The sequence below is a fragment of the Homo sapiens genome, chromosome 11 (assembly GCF_000001405.40).
Source record: "Homo sapiens chromosome 11, GRCh38.p14 Primary Assembly".
NCBI classification, from domain to species: Eukaryota; Metazoa; Chordata; class Mammalia; order Primates; family Hominidae; genus Homo; species Homo sapiens.
The window spans coordinates 57,173,915-57,192,125 of record NC_000011.10 but is presented as its reverse complement, the minus strand read 5'-3'; the positions used below and the strand labels follow the sequence as shown (position 1 = coordinate 57,192,125).

The following is an 18,211-nucleotide window of genomic DNA, read 5'->3' as shown; positions in this document are numbered from 1 at the left end:
TCCTTATCACACACCCTTCAGTGATGCTAACTAGGCAGGCACACCCACTTGCCTTGGTATGTTTTATGGACGACCCAAGTTGCAAACATCAACATGTGTAAGACATATGCTCTCTTCTTTGTGTAATTTCAGGCACCAAAATATGCCTACACAGAGGGGTATGTGCATACAGACACACGCGTATTCTTTTTTTGCCTGGTAGAAATATACTTCTGTGATGTTCCTTCAACTCCCACACATGCCCCTCCATGGCTGGCACATCTCCTAATTATTTCCATCCACTCCCTCCCATAGACCTTTTGTGCGTATATTTTGGCACACATTCTCTTGGTTCCGCCTAGTTCCTTTCTCTCTTTCTTTCTCTACCTCCCTCCCTCTCCCTATCCCTCTTCACAGCTCTTAGGAAAATTTGTTAAACTATACACTCTTTATTATTAATGTACATTTATGAAAAATTCTGCACAGTTACAAAAGTGCATGGTTATAAAATCATCTCCATACAAAGGTTGGCATCTTCCCTCTAACCCCACCCCTCCCCAGCCCTCCCACCCCCAGACATTAGCACATTACAGGACAGTGCTTAGAAAAACTGAGAGCTCTGTGGATCCAGCTCTCCGCCCAGTGCTGTGACAAACACAATAGTGATTTACAAAAGACCTTGTGACGCCCTCACTTCCCTTTTGCCTCTTCCTGGGGTGGGGAAGCGCAGACAATTTTCTCTGGCTTTAGGAAGATGTCCTTTTGAGGAATGGGTTAAGATATATCTTTTTAGTCTTCTACTGCTGGAAAGGATGTCAGCACAGACACGTATAGGGGAAAATGGAAGCTGGAGGTCTTCCCCCATGGTTGAAGACAAACACCTGTCTTGATCTGTTCAAATTTCATACATGTCCCTCCTCGAAAGGAGCCATGAACCTCTGTAGCAACTCTGGAGACCTATTTCTGCAAAGTTCCCTGGGAATTCCTCTAGGAAGGGAGAAAAAGAGACGAGGGTTTGTCTGAGGGTGACCAGAGATAACTGGCCCAAAGTGATGTGATTCAGATATGAGGGCTCTTCTAAAAAGGAATTTTCTTGGCCCAAATCTTGACCAAACTAAACTTTGATATCCTCTGGCCTAGCATGGAGGAAGCTTCTGCAATGGGGACAAGTCTCTGAGGCGCAGGAGAGAGCAGAGGGAAGCAAGGAGAAGTCAGGTTCTCATTAGGATGCCTCTGCCACAGATTTTTCTCCTTCTTTATTTTTTGAGCATCCAGTCCTACCCTAAACCTGGTGGGATTCCATCTTAATCTATCAAGCAATGTAATATTAGATTGACGCAAAAGTAATTGGGATTTTTGCTATCATTTTTAATGGCAAAAACCGCAATTACTTTTGCACCAACCTATATATGCCTATTTAGGCATGCTTATTTATGCATATTTAGCCACTCAGCCTATGGCTGAGTGGACTATGTCAGAGAACTGAACCCAAGTTCTAGAGAGATCTGTCCCAAGTCAGCGGACAGCCAATATACAAGGAACCTCGCAGACAGACATACAGATGCAGAGATACCCCATCACATACATGTTAACCAGTTTGGACAATTTGAATGAAGCCTGTGGTCACCAGGGATATGGGAGCAATTCTAATCAGGATTGTTAGATTATCTCTAGAAGGTTGCTTCTGATAGCTTGGACAAGATGATGGCGGTGGGGGAGAAGCAGGGAATTCCTTGGCAGTAGGGAGGTTGAATACTTTCCTCATTGTGCTCTAGTAAACTGAGGAACTTCTAGCAGCAGGAGAAACATCTGTCCTTTAAAAGCCATGTATCCTGTTCAGAAAGGCTTGGCATTAATGGAGACCAAATTGTCCCACTAGAAAGGACATTGATGTCAAGGGGGCATTTGGTGTCTTTTCTGGTTCTAGTCCTATGCAAAAAAGCATATATCTTAAAATATATTAACTACATTTTGGCAAACAATAGTTCCTGGGAGGTTATTATAGTATTATGGTATGCCCCTATGGGAAACTTTTCTATTTTGTCAGGATTATAGTTTCTAAAAGTTCCTCTCCAAGTATTTAGGTTGCTGGCCTGGCTTGTAGAGAACAACTTGAGTTCACCATCCTTGGTCATCACAGAAGGAGAGAGCAGGGCACAGTTCTGCTTCGGATGTCACAGGGCCAGGGATTTGTCCCAGATGTTGTAAGAAAGATTCAGGGGACACAGGTTCAAGTACTTCAGGTCTAGCAAAGTTTCTGAAGACTCTTTTGGTTGACTAGCTCAGGGAAGCACGAGTGAGGGATGCCTTCCTGGAAGATGACTTATTAGCCTCCTTCATTCCTTTCAGGCTTTCCAGGAGGATGGGCTGATAGAATACCGCTGGAGCTTGGGGCAAGGGAGGTGTGGAAAGCCCCTGTTTTAATTCTCCTCCTGGCCAGACTTATCAGCATGTTGGACTGTGCCTTGATGTTCTTCTCCTAAACTGCAGAGGTTCTCACCTATAGCTTTCTTGCTCTCTTAGTATCTCTTGCAACACACGCAGCAGGGCTTGAGCAGGAGTGGTTAACACAGCTTCCTTTCTTGATTCCCAAAGATCTTACTTTTCACATGACTGCCACCATGGCCACCATTGCTGATGTTTTATCTACACATTGTAAAGCAGGAGTCTCCTATTCAGGTGTTACCTGTGTAGTCTCTGTTTCAGAGCCTGCAATTTGCCCTACCGTGAGCATAGTTCAATCTGTACAGCAGATGGGTTTGGCTGCCTTCTATTTAGCTTATCCACTAGCACATTCATGGATGCTGAATTCCAGGGCCCCACTACCCAGCCTTCTGAGGCATTCTCTTCCCCAAGCACTTGAGAAAGCACTGGAAAGAGAACTGTGTTAGGGTTGAGCCCCAACCTTGCCACATAGCAAGTCATATCCAACCTTGAGACTTTTTTCCCCATCTGTAAAACAGGATTACTGATGTTTGATTTACCTCCTGCACAGGGATGTGAAAAGTCAAGGAGAATGATGCAAAAATACTCATGAACTATCCGGTGCTGAACAAATAGAGGGAAGATAATGATGCTGCTGACGAAACTGATGAAGAAGACCACGATGATGATAATTGTGCTTTGCTCGTAAAGTTACTTGATTTTTGACTGACTGATTAGATGCAGTTTCCCTGAATGGAGCTGCCTACCGCCTTCCTTCTAGGGCTTATCCAGACAACCTTGGGTAAGTCACTCAACTCTCTACGATTAATTCATCTGTCAAATGGGGATAATAAAAACCACCAGGCAGTGTTGCTGTGAGAATTGAAAGAAGTGAGTCAATAGATATAAAAGTGCCCAGAGGAGTGCCTGGACCTTATGAGGAACTTTGTCAGCTCTAGTTGAATTTGAATTTATATAACTCTAGAGGGAATGGTGATGTTCCCCAACTTGGATGGGGCAGTAGAAAGAGCACAGACTTTATCTTGCTCATAGTGGCATGTGACTTTAACCTCTCTGAGCCTTAGTTGCCTCATCCGTAAAATGGGAACAACAGCGTTCACCTCAAAAGATTTGTGTGTGTGTGTGTCAAAGGGAATGGTTTGTGCAGAGAGCTTTTCAAAGTACCTGACACTGGCAAGGGCTTAGTATTTAATAGCTCTCTCACCCTCATGCTTAACGTGGGTAAGTTGCTTAGAAGAAAATGCAAAGCCTCATATGGTCATAACTGTGCTGCCTTTGTCCCCTTTTAGCTCTGGGTGCTGCCAGGCTGTGGGTCTGTGGCCCACAGTGCACTTTCCTGGTGAGACCCTGTGGCATGAGCACTGTGGCAAGAACAGTCACATGATTAGGATCCCAAGGTGCCAGGACTCTTGCTGCCCCAGTTGCTGGGCCTCCTGCCTCTCTCTTCTGAAGCAAAACTTGAGTGAGAGGCAGGAGCAAGGGCATTGAAAGTGTCCATCCTCAGCCTGCTGCCTGGGACCTCACCAACTGGTGACATTTGGTCATATGGGGGCAGTCACTGGGAGGTGGTCTCACCTGGTAGCTGCTGGTGGAAGGAGGCCAGGGGCTGTCATAGAGGTGTTCTTACTCCCTGTAGGCAGTGGCTGGCATTGCTGAGAGCTGACAGTTTTGGTGTCAGGAGGTGAGGGGTAGGTTTGAGTTCTGTGCCACACCCCCTCTATACAAGTAAGTGACCAGGAACTGTTCACTCTTCTCAACACAGCACACTATGCATATTCTGGCCTCTGCCATGTGCAGACACCCTTCTTTGCCTACCTGACAAAGTAGATATTTCCTGATGACCCAGTTCACAAATCACTCTAATCTTATAATTCTCATGGACATTGCTAGATACAGATGATGGCTCCTCCTCTGGGCCTCCATAATGACGTGCTCAGAGTCCTGACATATAGTCTTAAAGGGAATAGTTTTTGGATCTCTCTCCTTGACCAGAGGGAAGTGCCTTGAGGGCAGGGACTGAGTCAGTTCATCTGATGTTCCCAATTCCTAGCGTGCCGCCTGGCCCAAAGCAGATGCTCATACAAAATGAGTGTCCCCACCTTGCTTGAACCATGACTGAGGCAGCCAGGTCACCATGGAACCAGAGTGAGCAGTCAGGGAGGGCGTCTGGTGGCCAGCAGCTGTGGCGGTCAGCAGCATGGAGGGATGAGAGGCAGGCATGTCAGATCTCTTCCTCTTCACTGGCCTTGCTCCAGCGGTGGCAGCAGTTGGCAGTGATGCCCAGGAGGAAGTTGGTGGCCACAGAAGCAATGGAGACCACGAAGCCCACGAACGCAATGAATAGGTAATCATCCAGGGTCAGGGTCAGGTGGCAGGCCTTGAAGCTCTCCTCAGTGAGTGAGAAGAGCGGGGCGCCCTCGACTTCAGGAGGGCCCCGGCACTCAGCCAGCTGAGAATCTGTAACACAGAAGCCAGGGAGGGTGAGGTACCCAGGGAAGGAGAGGGGATTGGAAAGTCCACCCACAACCGCTTGCTGGAAAAAGTAAGAAAGACATTCATTGAAGTTCTTCCATGTGCCAAGAATTCTACTTAACTCCTTTAGTTCCCTCAACAACTCTCAAGACAAGGATTTTTATGCCTATTTCTATAGATGTGGAAAGTACTGTTTAAAGAGTTTAGCAATTTGCTGAAAGTCATCTGGCTGTGACCAGTGGTAGATCTGGGGACACCATCATCTCTTACAATAACCTCCCAACTGGTTTCTGGGCTTCAGAAGGTGTCTGTCCTCAGCCTGCAGGCTGGGACCTCACCAGCAGCTGACAAACGATTTTAATACAGTCAGCTGAGTGGTTCTTTCAAACCTGATGTCCTGCCACACCTTCTCTACTTAAACCCTTCCCTGGATTCCTGTCTTTGAATGGAGCAAAAACCAAGGTGCTCCCCTTGGGCTCCAGGGATTCTTTCCCATCTCTTCCACTCTGTTCCTTACTTACCCTGCTCTAGCCACACACACCTCCTGGTCATCCTTCCATGATCTCAGAGTGTCCCCTCTTGAAGCGGGGAAGGGATGCTTTTGCATTTGTCCCTTTGGGAGGGAACTTCTTCCCTCGATCTCTGCACAGCTCAGCTCCCCACTTCCTTTGGGACTTGGCTCAATGCCACATTATTAGTGAGGCCTTTCCTTAAGACTCTGAATAAAATAGCACCCCACTTCACCTCCCCCTGGGCTCCCTATCTTCCCTGCTCTGCTGTGTTTTTCTATGTAGTGTTGATCACTGCCTGAAAGTTTATTGGTTTATTTTCTGTCTTCTCCCCTTTCAATATAAGCCCCTCCCATGGTATCTTTAGCATGAGAACAGTGTCTTGTCCATAGTAAGTGCTTGACGAATCTTTACAACATGAATATAAGAGTCTGTCCAACTCCAAATCACTGGGCCTTTCCACTACTTATGTTGCATTTCCAGATACACAGGGTATAGAGTTAAGAGTATGGGTTCCAGAGCTATTGGCCTAGTTTCAAATCCCCTCTTCACCCCTTGCTAGTTGCATGATTACAGGTAAGATATTTAATCTCTCTGTGTCTTGACTTCTTCATCTGTCAAATGAGGATAATAACAGTATCTACTTCTCAGGGTTGTAGTGAGGATTCAGTGAGTTAACGTACACGAATTATATGCTACATATTAATGTAATATATAATATATAACATATATTATATTTCAATTATATGAATTATTATATTGGTTGTTTTTCCTAGAGAGGCCATTGGGGGTCATATTCTGCACTCAAGCTTCTGTAGGAGGGGGCTGCTTTTTCTGGTGGGGTTATTGTTATTTTCAGCATTGATGGTCTCATCTCATTCTTCTGGGGTCACTTTTATGAATGCATGATGGCTGTCAACGGTCTTATCTCACTCTGCCTGGGAAGTAAAGGTAGTGTGCATGTGACACTCTTGCCATGCAGCTTTAGGCACCAGCTTTTGAGCAGCCAATCATTCCTTTGTTTAGTGGATAAATATTAATCAAGCTCTTACCTTGGGTAAGTCTTTTTTTTTGGTCTTTCTGGCTCTCATGCTCTGCCTGTATAATAAGGGGCCTCTATAAGAAGGGGATAACCCAGCCAGACACAGTGGCTCATGCCTGTAATCCCAGCATTTTGGGAAGCCAAGGCGGGTGGAGGTGGATCATGAGGTCAAGAGATTGAGACCATCCTGGCCAACAAGGTGAAACCCCATCTCTACTAAAAATACAAAAATTAGCTGGGTGTGGTGGTGCGCACCTGTAGTCTCAGCTACTCGGGAGGCTGAGGCAGGAGAATTGCTTGAACCTGGGAGGTGGAGGTTGCAGTGAGCTGAGATTGCACCACTGCACTTCAGCCTGGGTGACAGAGCGAGACTCTGTCTCAAAAAAAAAAAAAAAAAAAAAAAAAAAAGAAAAGAAAAGAAAAGAAGGGGATAATCCAATCTAAATTTTCTGAGAGTCAGTATGAAGACATTTTCTAAATTATGTGTTGTATAAATGCATAAATGCTATGTATTCATTCTGCAGTTTTTGAGGGCAAGGAATCAAATGATGGATTTGGATTGAACCTTTCAAGAATTGAATCAGCATCAATATCCTTGGAAATGGGGAGTCAGGTTTGGAAGGAGAACCCAACCTTCCCCAAATCCCAGGTTGAGCAATTCCTGTAGGCTGTGAGCACAGGACCCCCGTCCTGCCCAGGCCAGGATCCTCTCTGGGCTTGACTCGCGTGAGCTCTCCTCTGGAAACCTGAAGATGCTGAACTCTAAAGTCTATTAGGTAGATGAAGTGGGTACTGGTGAGACAGTGAGATGGGGAATGTGGCAACCCTCATATGGACCAGCCAGAGGAGCCCCTGACAGCCCTTGGTGGGACCACACAGGATGCAGGGTGGGAACGTGGAGGCTGACAAAACCCCCTGGTAAGTCAAGGCACCAGTCCTAAAGTCATGCTGTATCCCAGGGGCTTGCTTATTATGGCCCTCTTTGTTCAATTTTTCCAAAAACCATGGATAACAGTGGAGTTCCGCAAAGAAAAAGGGAGGAAGCAGCTGAAAAGGACCTAAAGGGAAGAGCATCACCTAGTTCTGCCTCCACTGGCAAGGTTTTGTCCCTAAGGAGAAGCACCCTGGTGCGTGTGGCCTGGTGTTAAGTGTGTTCTGTGGAGGAACAGGGAACCTGGCTTTCCAGCTGGGACTGCTTGCTTCCTCATCATGGGCCTGTGGACAGTCACTGTCCCCTTCTGGAGCTCAGGTTCCTCACCTGTACTGATGTATGTGTGAGCCTACACTGATGAAATCTTGGACCCCTCTCCTGCTCGCTGGGAGTCTGAGCTTCTTCAGAGCAGCAGGGACCTCAGAGATCACAGAAAAGGAGTCCCTGGGTGTAATGTAAGCTTAGTGCTTTGGGTGCCCTTTCTGTTATTAGTGCACAGGAGAGAGAGGGAAGGCGCGCCTGCCAAGTTTGAGCAAGTTGAGAGATTGCTCCAGGCATCCTCCCACTCCTGCCCTCCACCATCGCCCCATCCCAGTCCCCAGCTATTTTGATGCAAGAGAATTTCCTCCTACAGCTCTGTGGAAACACTGGAATCGTGACCCACAGCCCTCCCCAAACTATTTTGGTCTTGGGCTCCCCACTCAGTCCTCCTCTCCCTTTTACCACATTCAGCATTGCTTCTTCTCAACATGGGCTGAGCTCAGGTTCTGGGAAAGCCCCTTGGATAGGGCCTTCAGCTACTACTTCTGGGTTCTTGTGCCAAGTCTTGGTGTTGTCACACAGGAGAGCTGGTGGCTAGGGCCACAGCTGAACATTGCCTGCCTCTGGGTCAGGCTCAGATGCCACTGGGTTGGGATGCCCATCAAACCTATGTGATTTGGGCTTCTTCAGGCCCCAGTCCACCCTCCAGTTGGGATTGGCTGGTTGAGTTGCCGCATCTCAGTCTTCCTTTCAGCTCCCTACCCTGTGCCCAAAGTTTACACTGCTCAGGGCCTTGAGTTTGAGGAAAGCCAGGTTCTCGTAGCTGAGATCCAGGTCTTGGAGCTGCATGAGGTCCTGGAACTCTACTGCAGCCCTTTGGCCAGTCCAGGACTCAGGTTCTGACTCTTCCGGCAGGCCAGAACCTGACTCTTCAGGATATAGTCAGGGAGATTGCCAGGACTCAAATCCTGGCTTCAACACTTAGCAGCTGTGTAACTTCCAACAAGCTACTGAACCTCTCTGTGCCTCAGCTTCCTCCTCTGTAGAGTGGCAATCTCATTAGTGTTCTTCTGGGGATAGGAAGAGATAGGTAAAGCTGCTTAAGAGAGGGCCTGGTAAATAGCAAGTACTAAGGTCTCAAGTTCCTCCTGGAACATATTGGCTGTCACGCAACTTAAGCTATTGCAGCTCTGTTGAGATTGTGTTAGTCATTACTATTTATACGAGAGTTTCCAACACTTGGAATGCTAAAAAAGCATTCTGGTAGATTAGAACAGGGCTTAGAAGTCAGATAAATCTAGGTTTTATTCATGGTCCTGCCACTTTTTAATTTTTTAATTTGTATTTTTTTCATGGCCCTGCCACTTTCTAAGTGTGTGATTCCTGTCAAGCCTTTTTATTGTTCTAAATCTCAGTTTCTTCACCTGGAAAATGGGTATAATAAAAATGGGGGTCTCATGAGATAATGGATGCCAAGATCTTAGGTCATGGTGAAAGCTCAATAAAAACCACCAACCATAGGCTATTCTCACTTGTCTACTATCCGTCTGCCTCATTAGGTCATGAGCAGCGCAGTGGTGAGGGACATCTATTTAATGAATGAATGGGCCCTCGGTGCCTCACATGCACTGGAAGGATTCTACAAACAACCTGTTGGCCGAGCTGGTGTACAAAGAGGCAAGCCCACATTAGAAAATGCAGTAGGTGCTTTCTGGCTCTAAGTTCCCCCGCTTTCTTTGGAGCCTTTGCTTCCCATTGAGGCAAGCCCTCCCTGTTGACTGCCCCGTTCTGCCCCTCTATTACCTGCTGTACAGCGCTGGATCCGGTTTCGCAGCCACTTCAGCAGGGGTTCCATGGTGCAGCCACACACCCAGGGATTGCCACCGATCTGCAGGGTCACCAGCCCCGGTAGGCCCTCAAGAGCCTCCAGGCTGAGGAAGGCCAGGCCCCCATAACTGAGGTCCAGGTCTCGGAGCTGCATGAGGCCCTGAAAGGCCTGGGGATGCACCCTCCGCAGCCAGGGGTTGTGGCTCAGGTCGATGTGGACTAGCCCATGGGCCTCCTGGAACATGTCGGCTGGCACATGGCTGAAATTGTTGTAGCTCAGGTCCAAGTGTGCCAAGCGCTTGGCATGGAGGAAGAGGCCCCGGGGCAGCTCCATTAAGGAGTTGTTGTGCAAATCCAGCACCTGGAGCTCCATGTAGCATGTGAGGTAGCCAGGCGGCACTGCTGTGATGCGGTTGTGGGCCAGGCTGAGGTTTCGGGTGTCCATTGGCAGGTCTGGGGGCACGGAGAATAGCCGCTGGCTGCTACAATCCACCACCTGGTTACGGCATGTGCAAAGGACGGGGCAGCTGGTGCCGGCATCCGAGTGCATCAACCCGGCTGCCAAGAGGAGGGAGATCAGCAGCATTGCTGGGTGGGGTGGCCCGGGCCAGGGAAGCTGGGCCCAAGTGTCACCCATCTTAGGCAGCAGGCAACAGCAGTGCTGGAGGGAGCCCATGAGGACTGTGTCCATGGAATCGAGAGTCTGTGACACAGGAAGGCAGCTACATCTGGGGCCAGCGTCTGTGAAGGTGGGGCTTCTGAGCATGTGGTATCATGGCTAGGGACTTTCCCAGGAGCCTCTGAGCACCAGAGGGCTTCCTGAGATCCACGGGAGGTCCCCTTCCGGAGCCTAGGGGGCAAGACACCCAGTTGAGGTCCCCTAGGGTCTGGAATGATGATCAAAACCTGAGAAAGGGAGGGGACAAGAATGGGGCTAGGTCAGCTGCCAGCAAGTCCTGGAAGAGTTCCTGCAGATCTTTTGTGTCTCTCTCACCCATGCCTGCTGGATGTTTCCTCTTGGTGCTGTGTCTGGGAGGGAGGGGCTGAAGGAGATGAAACGTGCCCTTTAAAGATCCTTGGCACTTCTTCTGAGAAAACTTAAGTCCTGTCCCACGTCTGGGACTGATTAGGAAGCCGGGGCTGCACCTGGGTCTTCAGTGTTGAAGGTCTCAGAGGCCATTTGTCCTGGTGGCCTGGTGGGCTGGAGTCCAAGGGGGTCCCAGGGTGGGTGTTTTGGGAAAAGGGCCCGGGAGGAAGTGAGTCTCCATGGGCCTCCTAAAAGCCTGAGAGTCCTCAGCCTCAGTGGCTGCTGGAATCCCCAGGAAGCCTCTTTTTTTCCCAAAGAGAGGAGGACCCCAGGTGATGCCCACTGTCTGGGCCTCTGGGGCCAGAAGAAGTCATGAGTCCTGAAGGTGCAGGCTGAGTGTCAGCTGGCAGAGCTCTGGCATCTTCTCCAAGCCAGTGCCTTCCTCAGCGCAGTTCTGTGTTCAGCAGGTGGAGGCCAAATTCCCTCTGTCAACAAGGAAAGCACTCAGGCAGAGAAATCCTGTGCCCTTGACACTCCCTTGTCCCTTCACCTAGGACGCTTGGCTTATCTTTGTCTCTTTCCTTTGCTCCCCCAACCACAAAGTTCTCTGCTTACTGTCTGTCAGGTGTGGGCCATGGTAGGTTCAGACCCCAGGCTCACATTGCTGTTACCCACGAGCCCTCCCTGACCCAACCTGCAGCCATCCTCCTCTGGGTTCCTGTCTTGGGTTAGATGCATTTTCTTCTTCTTCTCATAACCCCACCCTCATTAGTACCAAACACGCCACCCTTGAACAACTCCCTAAGAAAAATCTGCATCCACACTCTGGGGGTTTGCACACCCCTTTCAAACACTCTAAGCACTCCTCTCTCTCTCACACGCACACACACACACTCACTCACACACCATTCTGTGACTCCCCCGTATTTTGCCCTGCCCCGTGCTCACGCCTCGCGGTTTTCGCTCCAGCTTCCTTCTGCACAGGCGATTCTGCAGACCCCTCCCCAGTCGACCCCCAGCATCTTTCGCCCCCCTCTCAGCGCACACCCTTCATCCCAGCATCCCTTTCCACACACTGCACTCTCCTCGCCGCCCCCAGCAGAGGGACCGAGAGTGATGCCACGCCCAGAGCCTCAGCCCTCGCGCCCCGCGCCCTCTCGCTTCTCCCTTGCCCACCTGCTGTCCTCGGTCCTCCCCTCACCCTCGGCCTGGCGCTGCCTATTTTCCTACCGCTTCAAGCCTCAATCCCGCCCACCTGGAAATCACCCCAGCTCCCCTTCATGCAGACTCATTTTTCTAAGCCCCAGGTCTCCCCCTCGCACTCCCACAGGCCCCAGGAGCCTACTCACTCCGTTCCAAGGACACAGCCATCAATCTGCGGCAGACGCGGGTCTCCCTCCCTCCTCCTGGAATCCCCGCTTGCTCCTTGCTTGCTTCAGAACAGATTGCCTCCCAGGCTGTTCCCCTCCCCCGGCCTCTCCTCCTCCTTGTCTCCCGGATCCCAGGCCAGCATCTTCTATGATTTCCCGTCCTGCGGTCCCCCTGCCCCTTCTTTCACCCAAAGGGAAATCACAGAGACAGGATGCTCGGAAGAAAGTTCACAGAATCTGAATGCTTCTTTCTGAAACTCAGCTGGTGCCCAGGCTGCTGGGGTATAAGGCTTCCGCCAGAGCCAGGTCTTCCCCCTCCCTCCCCCCTTCCCACCCTCTCTCTCTCCCTCCCTCCATCCCTCCCCCAGTTCTCTCCCTTTTTCACTCCCCTTTTTTTTCCTCGAGGGCCAGGTACTGACGTTTCGCTGTCTCTTAGCAACTGCCTCCACATTTTTGAGCAACAGGAGAACTGGCTGTGGACCCCACCACAAAGAGAGAGGAGAGAAGGAAGCACAGGGCAAAATTCACAGCCGCCCACAGGATCCTGGGGATAGAGCGAGGAGAAGAGGGGGAGACAAGGGTGGGCAACTGGACAGGGGCAGAGAAAGAGGATCAGGCAGGGCCCAGTGGGAGAGGTCGTAGTAGGGGCAAGGTGTGGACCTGGAATCGGAGACAGAGGAGGGATGGCTTAAGGGCATCAGATCCAGAAGAAAAAACTAAGAGGGCTTGCAATGAATGGAGAAAGGGACTTAGTGGGGGATGGGGCGAGTGAAGAATGGGGACATTGAAAACATGAATAGGAATGGAAACAAAAAAGGGATGTGAATATGATAAGTTTGCTCACTTGATGGGATATATCTTTGTAGTCACCATATAATATCTACTTACCTGGGTTGGAAGGTATTTTGGGCTCCAGCTACCAGGTGATTGGCTCAGGGCTTGTTAGGGACCATTATTGCAGGAAAGACCTTTTATATGTTCCCTGATTGTCCCTAAGTCCTGACCCCATGGGCTTTCTGGGGCTAGGAGGCTTGGCTGGAGTAGACCAATTTCCCCTTGGCTTGGGATATGAGAACTTTTGGGGTCCAAAAGGCCAACTACTTGGCCAGGTGGGGGCACCTGGGGCTCTACAGACACTTGGGTCTGTTAAGGGGAAAGGAAGCTTGTGATCCTTTCTTCTTTCTCCAGGCCTAAGGGATTCTGTCTGTTGTCTTGTTCCCATGCTTCCAAGCTTCCTTGGAGTGACTTCAGATGAGGATGAAATTTGTGCAATACCTGTTTTCTTGCTCACCCATTAAACAAGTCTCTAGCTGTCCTGCATTTTAAAAATTGTCTTGACCGGTTGGTTTGCTCAAAGAGCTGACTTATTTCTTTGCTTAATAAATATTTATTGAGCATTCACTGTATGCTGGGTACTTGGCCAGATGGTGGGCGACAAGATGGACATAGACTCCTCCCTCATGGAGCTGCTTCATTTGGTTGACCTGGGGCCTCTCGCATTTAAGTAAGAGCTTAGGTCTTTGGGGGATCCAAAATGGAGTAATAGAAAATAACAAGTGTGAAGTTATACAGATTCTGGGCATTTATAAAGTTCTTAAAATCATGGTTGTTGTCTTCTCTAACATGATTCTTTTTGCTATATGCTTGTAGAAAGTCAGTTCCCTTCTGTGTTCTCTCAGATGCTCATTTTGAATCTTTCATGTTCTACAGTCTCTGGCACAGAGTAACATGGCAGCCACTCCATAAATATTTGTATATTGAGTTGACTGAGGTAAATGAGATTTCACTCCCTGCTTAAAAAAAGGAATGTTTGTTTAATCTCACTTATGAGTTTAGAAGTAAAATATTAATCTTAACCCAGAAAACGCAACACAATGAAACAAGTAATCTATTCTAACTGAGGACTGTTGGCCTCCGGAAAGTAAAGCTAGCATCCTATGGAAAAATGGTAGAAAACATAATTATCTGAATGGAGGCTAAAAAAGCTATCCAGCATAGTTCAATATTTAGTGTTGACTAAAGGTAACTCATGAAGATTTTCTTTCTTTACATGATACGAAGTTTATATTTAAAATTAGAATTAATAATATAACTAAAGGAAAACATTAGTTACTGTGTTCCTTAAAAAATAGGATCTAGGTAAGATGCCTCATCACCGTTTGAAACTCAGTTTTCTGACCTTTGAAGTAGGGATAATGACGCCTAAGTCACAGGGTTGCTAGATATATGAGCCATTATAAATAAAGCACTTAGAACACTGTACAGATGGCTTTGTCAAATGAACAAATAAAACAAAGTAAAATAAACAAACAGCAGAATATAAAATCTCTAAAACAGTTATGGAGAAAGAAAAACAAATAAATTGCTCAAAAAGTAAGAAGTTAAGAAAGGAAAATATTACATTTGCAGATGATTTGAATGTATTCCTGTGCAAATGAGTTGCAAAACCTTCAGAAACCCCTAATTCAAGAACATTGTCATTGCATATATCTTCTGTAGAAGTGAGGTTCAATGAGACAGAAATATTTTACGTGACTTTATACCACCTTTAATCATTTTACAAATCATTATGGGTTTCTATGAATCCCAAATTGGCGTCCCAAGGTACACTGTGTGCCATGAGGTTCTTAAATAAGTTTGAGAAACACTGAGTTAAACAAAATGAAATGAGTTTATTTACTGTAAGATTTCTCAGAGGCTTTAATGTGTAAATGGTTAGGGCCAGTCCACAAGTTAATGCGTAAATGGTTAGGGCCAGTCCACAAGTGACGGCATTGGGGAATGAGGAATATATAATATCCAGCATTTCCTAAACTTTTTTGGGATCTGTAATTTTCTTTTATCTTCTGCTCTCCCTCCTCTACTGCCTTTCTCTCTCCCCTTCCTCTCCTATTCTCACCTTTTACCTCCTCTTCCTTCTTTTTGTCAGAACTGTTAATATTGGGAATAGTTTTTTGTGAGCATGGTTTGGGAAATATGGAGCTGAAATTTATTATAGACTATCTCTTGCTTAAGTATCTTTAGTAATAGCAGGTGGCTTCCATAGAGGTCATTTTATTTTTTTTTACACAAAGAAATGTGTATCACTTTATGAGAGTTACTAGATATGTAGATAATAAAATTCAATGAATTCATTAAATGAATTCATGTTGAGACACCCATACTGGGTGGTTGGCTGTTTCCCTTCACAAAATGACTTTTTCCTGCACAGCATTCTTGCAGTAGGAGTGATTCTATTTTGAACCCCAGCAAAATGATAAATGATTATGTGTCACGGCCTTTTGGGGTCTCTTGCAAGTTATTGAAACTGTGATTGTTCAATCCATGATTGTCAAGGATTTACTCTACTGGGAAAATACACAGAAATCAATCAAAGAGTTGCACAAATGAAATGAGTTGAAAAATAATTTTCATTACTATGATTTCCTGAATACGTGCTAAATTAGCTGTAACAATGGCAGGAAATCTTTAAATACATGAGAATTAATTTAATCTACCACATAAGAAATTCATTCAAGGAAAATAATGAAACCTTAATAGAATGAAGATGGAGGAAGAAATGGAAAAAGGTAATCTCTCTAGTTGCTGGGAAAGTATAAAAATAACAAAGATGATTCTGCTTTCTTCAGTATCGTAGCTTAAAGTGTCTGAATCAGAATCTGGTGAACTGGTAATGAAAACCATTTGGGAGAAAAACTGGCAAGAATGCACAGATCATGTTAATAAGATGATGGTGATGATGATGATGACAGGAAATGCTTCAAAGTAAAGATGATGGACTCATTTAACTAAAAGATTAAAAAAAATTTTGCAAACTAAAAACCACTTGATGACCTTACTAAATATTTGTGCATTCTATTCACAATAGCAAAGACATAAAATCAACCTAAATGCCCATCAATGATAGACTGGATAAAGAAAATATGGTACATATTTACTATGGAATACTATGAAGTCACAAAAAAAAGAGTAAGATTATGTCCTTTGCAGGGACATGGATGGAGCTGGAGGCCATTATGCTTAGCAAACCAATGCAGGAACAGAAAACCAAATACTGCATGTTCCCACTTATAAGTGGGAGCTAAGTGATGAGAACACATGGACATATAGAGGGGAACAGCACACACTGGAGTCTATAGGAGAGTGGAGGTGGGAAGGAGGGAGAGGATCAGGAAAAATAACTAATGGGTACTAGACTTAATACCTGGGTAATAAAATAATCTGTACAACAAACTCCCATGACACAAGTTTACCTAAGTAACAAACTTGCACTGTATCCCTGAACTTAAAAGTTAAAAAACATTTGTTCTTTGAAAAATGACCATAGACGAGACTATAGTTTCTGGAAGTGGTTCTCACTATCACAATACAGAGTATGAAAAATGGGAAAGTACAAAAATGTTGGAATCAACCTCAAAGCAAGAAATGGTCTTGAGACATTAGCTCCATACTTCATTTTTTTGCTCTGAAAAAAATTCAAATGGTCCAAAGGAAAAACAAGCAATAAAAAAATACAAGTCAGGAAGAGAACAGAATAGCACATTTATCTTAGCTGTGGAGAGAAGATATCTTTCTGTGTGTGCAGGAAATGGACAATGTCATTTTTCAAACATATGACTTAAAAGATAATGGGGTTTTGCTGAGCAAAAAATGATAAAACAAAATCAGAGAGAAAAGAAAGACAGTCAATGGAAATATAAATTTTACATGAAAATCATTTGACCCAATACATGGAAAATATATTAAGAATTGCTACAAATACAGTTCTTATAAATTGCTATAATACACAAATTACTCCAATACAGATACAGAAAGTATAACATTGTGGTAGGTAAGATTCTAAGATGGCCCTTGTGGTAGATAGAATAGTGGGCCCCCAAAATATCCATTTTCTAATCCTCAAAACCCAGGAAAATGTCGTCTTAAGGGACATGAGATGGGAAGATTATCCTAGATTGTGCAGGTGGGTCCAATGTAATCACAGGGATCCTTAGAAAGGAAAGAGGGAGGTAGGAGAGTCAGAGAAGGAGAGGTAAGGATGGAAGAAGAGGTTGAAGGTGTTACACTGCTAGCTTTGGAGATGGAGGAAGGAACCATTAGTCAAGGAAGGCAGGCAGCCTCTAGAAGCTAGATAAAACGAAGAAACAGATTCTATCCTAGAGCCTCCAGAAGGAATTCATCCCTGGTGACCCATTTTAGGCTTCTGGCCTCCAGAGAAATGAGTTAATCAGTGGGTGTGGCTGTAAGCCACTATGTTTGTGGTGATTTGCTATAGCGGCAATAGGAAACCAGTATAGCCCTCAAGCTGACCACTTCCTGGTTGAATCTGTGAATACAATGGGATAAAACGCCTATGATTAGGTTAGTTCACGTTAATCGAAAGGCAGGCTATCTAGGTGGGCCTTACCTAATCAGGTGAGCCATTAAAAGTTCCCCGCCCTTCCTGAAAGGGTATTTGACTCCAGGGATATTCTCCATTGCTAGCTCTGAGAATAGAGGGGAACATGTGGGAAGAACTTGAGAGTGGACTCCAGTTGCTATGATTGATCACTGCCAACAGTCAGCAAGAAAATGGGAACCTCAATTCTACACCCACAAGGAGCTGAATTCTGCCAACAACTTGAACACGTTCGGAAGATGATTAAGCCCAAGCTCCAGGTGAGAATGCAGCAGGCCAGCCAGTACCTTGATTACAGCCTTGTGATTCCCCGAGTATCAAACCCAGCTATGCTGTACCAGGACTTCTGATCCCCAGAGGTATGAGCTAATCAATGGGCATTGTTTTAAGCCACTAAGTTTGTGGTAATTTGTGATGCAGCAATAGAAAAGTAACATAAATGTCATGTGGAAAGATGCATGGTCTGGCTAAAAATTAAAGACATAAACATAAAAACCATTTAGTGATAATACGTTAAACTAGTAACAATAAATCCACCTGTAAAACTACATGTGCTGGCTTTGGGGGAATGAGATGCATGTACCTTTTTGAGGGGCACTGGGAATTGGCTCAGACCCACTTAAGAAATTGCTTATACCTTTGACTCGGCAATTAGTAAGAAATTAGTTCGTTCAAAAATATTCATAGAAGGAACATTTATGATAAAGAAAAAGATGGAAGTAATGTGAATGTCCAGTGTTCAGCAACAGAGGGTGCTAAGAAAGCATCTTATAATGAAAAGAAACACCAAATAGAACAGTATTAATTGTGGCATCCTGATGGGTGATATTGTTGCCTGGACAGCATGCACAATCATGTTAATGGAATAAAGCAGAGCGAAAATTAACTAATACTTCACCACTCACTGGCTGTGTGCCCTTAGGCTAATGACCTAACCTCACTGTGCTCAA

The 18,211-nt window shown here is 46.0% G+C and overlaps 1 protein-coding gene and 1 long non-coding RNA gene across 5 annotated transcripts in view, besides 2 other annotated features; one reads left to right on the top strand and one right to left on the bottom strand.

Moving 5' to 3' along the window:
• The window catches only part of LOC105369309 (uncharacterized), a 189,617-nt gene that overhangs the window by 39,501 nt on the left and 131,905 nt on the right, over window positions 1-18,211 (top strand). For all 4 annotated transcript variants that reach the window (XR_007062670.1, XR_007062671.1, XR_950120.3 and 1 more), the window contains one exon: window positions 2,975-3,205. This is a non-coding gene — a long non-coding RNA (uncharacterized LOC105369309). The remainder of the gene's footprint in view (window positions 1-2,974; window positions 3,206-18,211) is intronic.
• On the bottom strand, window positions 409-10,173 carry LRRC55 (leucine rich repeat containing 55). The gene is made up of 2 exons (NM_001005210.4): window positions 9,443-10,173; window positions 409-4,881 (listed from the first exon to the last, which is right to left on the bottom strand). The coding sequence occupies exons 1-2, from the start codon at window positions 10,101-10,103 to the stop codon at window positions 4,646-4,648; spliced, it is 897 nt and encodes a 298-aa protein (NP_001005210.2). The 5' UTR covers window positions 10,104-10,173; the 3' UTR covers window positions 409-4,645.
• Window positions 5,173-5,337: a silencer, noted in NCBI's record as "fragment chr11:56954263-56954427 (GRCh37/hg19 assembly coordinates)". NCBI's record gives its function as "represses an EF-1alpha promoter that drives an FKBP-Casp9 reporter gene in an ReSE screen in HepG2 liver carcinoma cells {active_cell/tissue: HepG2}" and the evidence as "EXISTENCE:reporter gene assay evidence [ECO:0000049][PMID:32094911]".
• Window positions 9,477-9,771: a silencer, noted in NCBI's record as "tiled region #9255; K562 Repressive non-DNase unmatched - State 21:Repr". NCBI's record gives its function as "represses a minimal TATA promoter and a strong SV40 promoter by Sharpr-MPRA in K562 cells {active_cell/tissue: K562}" and the evidence as "EXISTENCE:reporter gene assay evidence [ECO:0000049][PMID:27701403]".

Coding starts and splice junctions, on each gene's coding strand:
- LRRC55 (NM_001005210.4), bottom strand. CDS start 10,103: ATGGGTGACACTTGGGCCCAGCTTCCCTGGCCCGGGCCACCCCACCCA. Junction 4,882..9,442: donor GATCCAGCGCTGTACAGCAG/GTAATAGAGGGG, acceptor TCTGTGTTACAG/ATTCTCAGCTGGCTGAGTGC.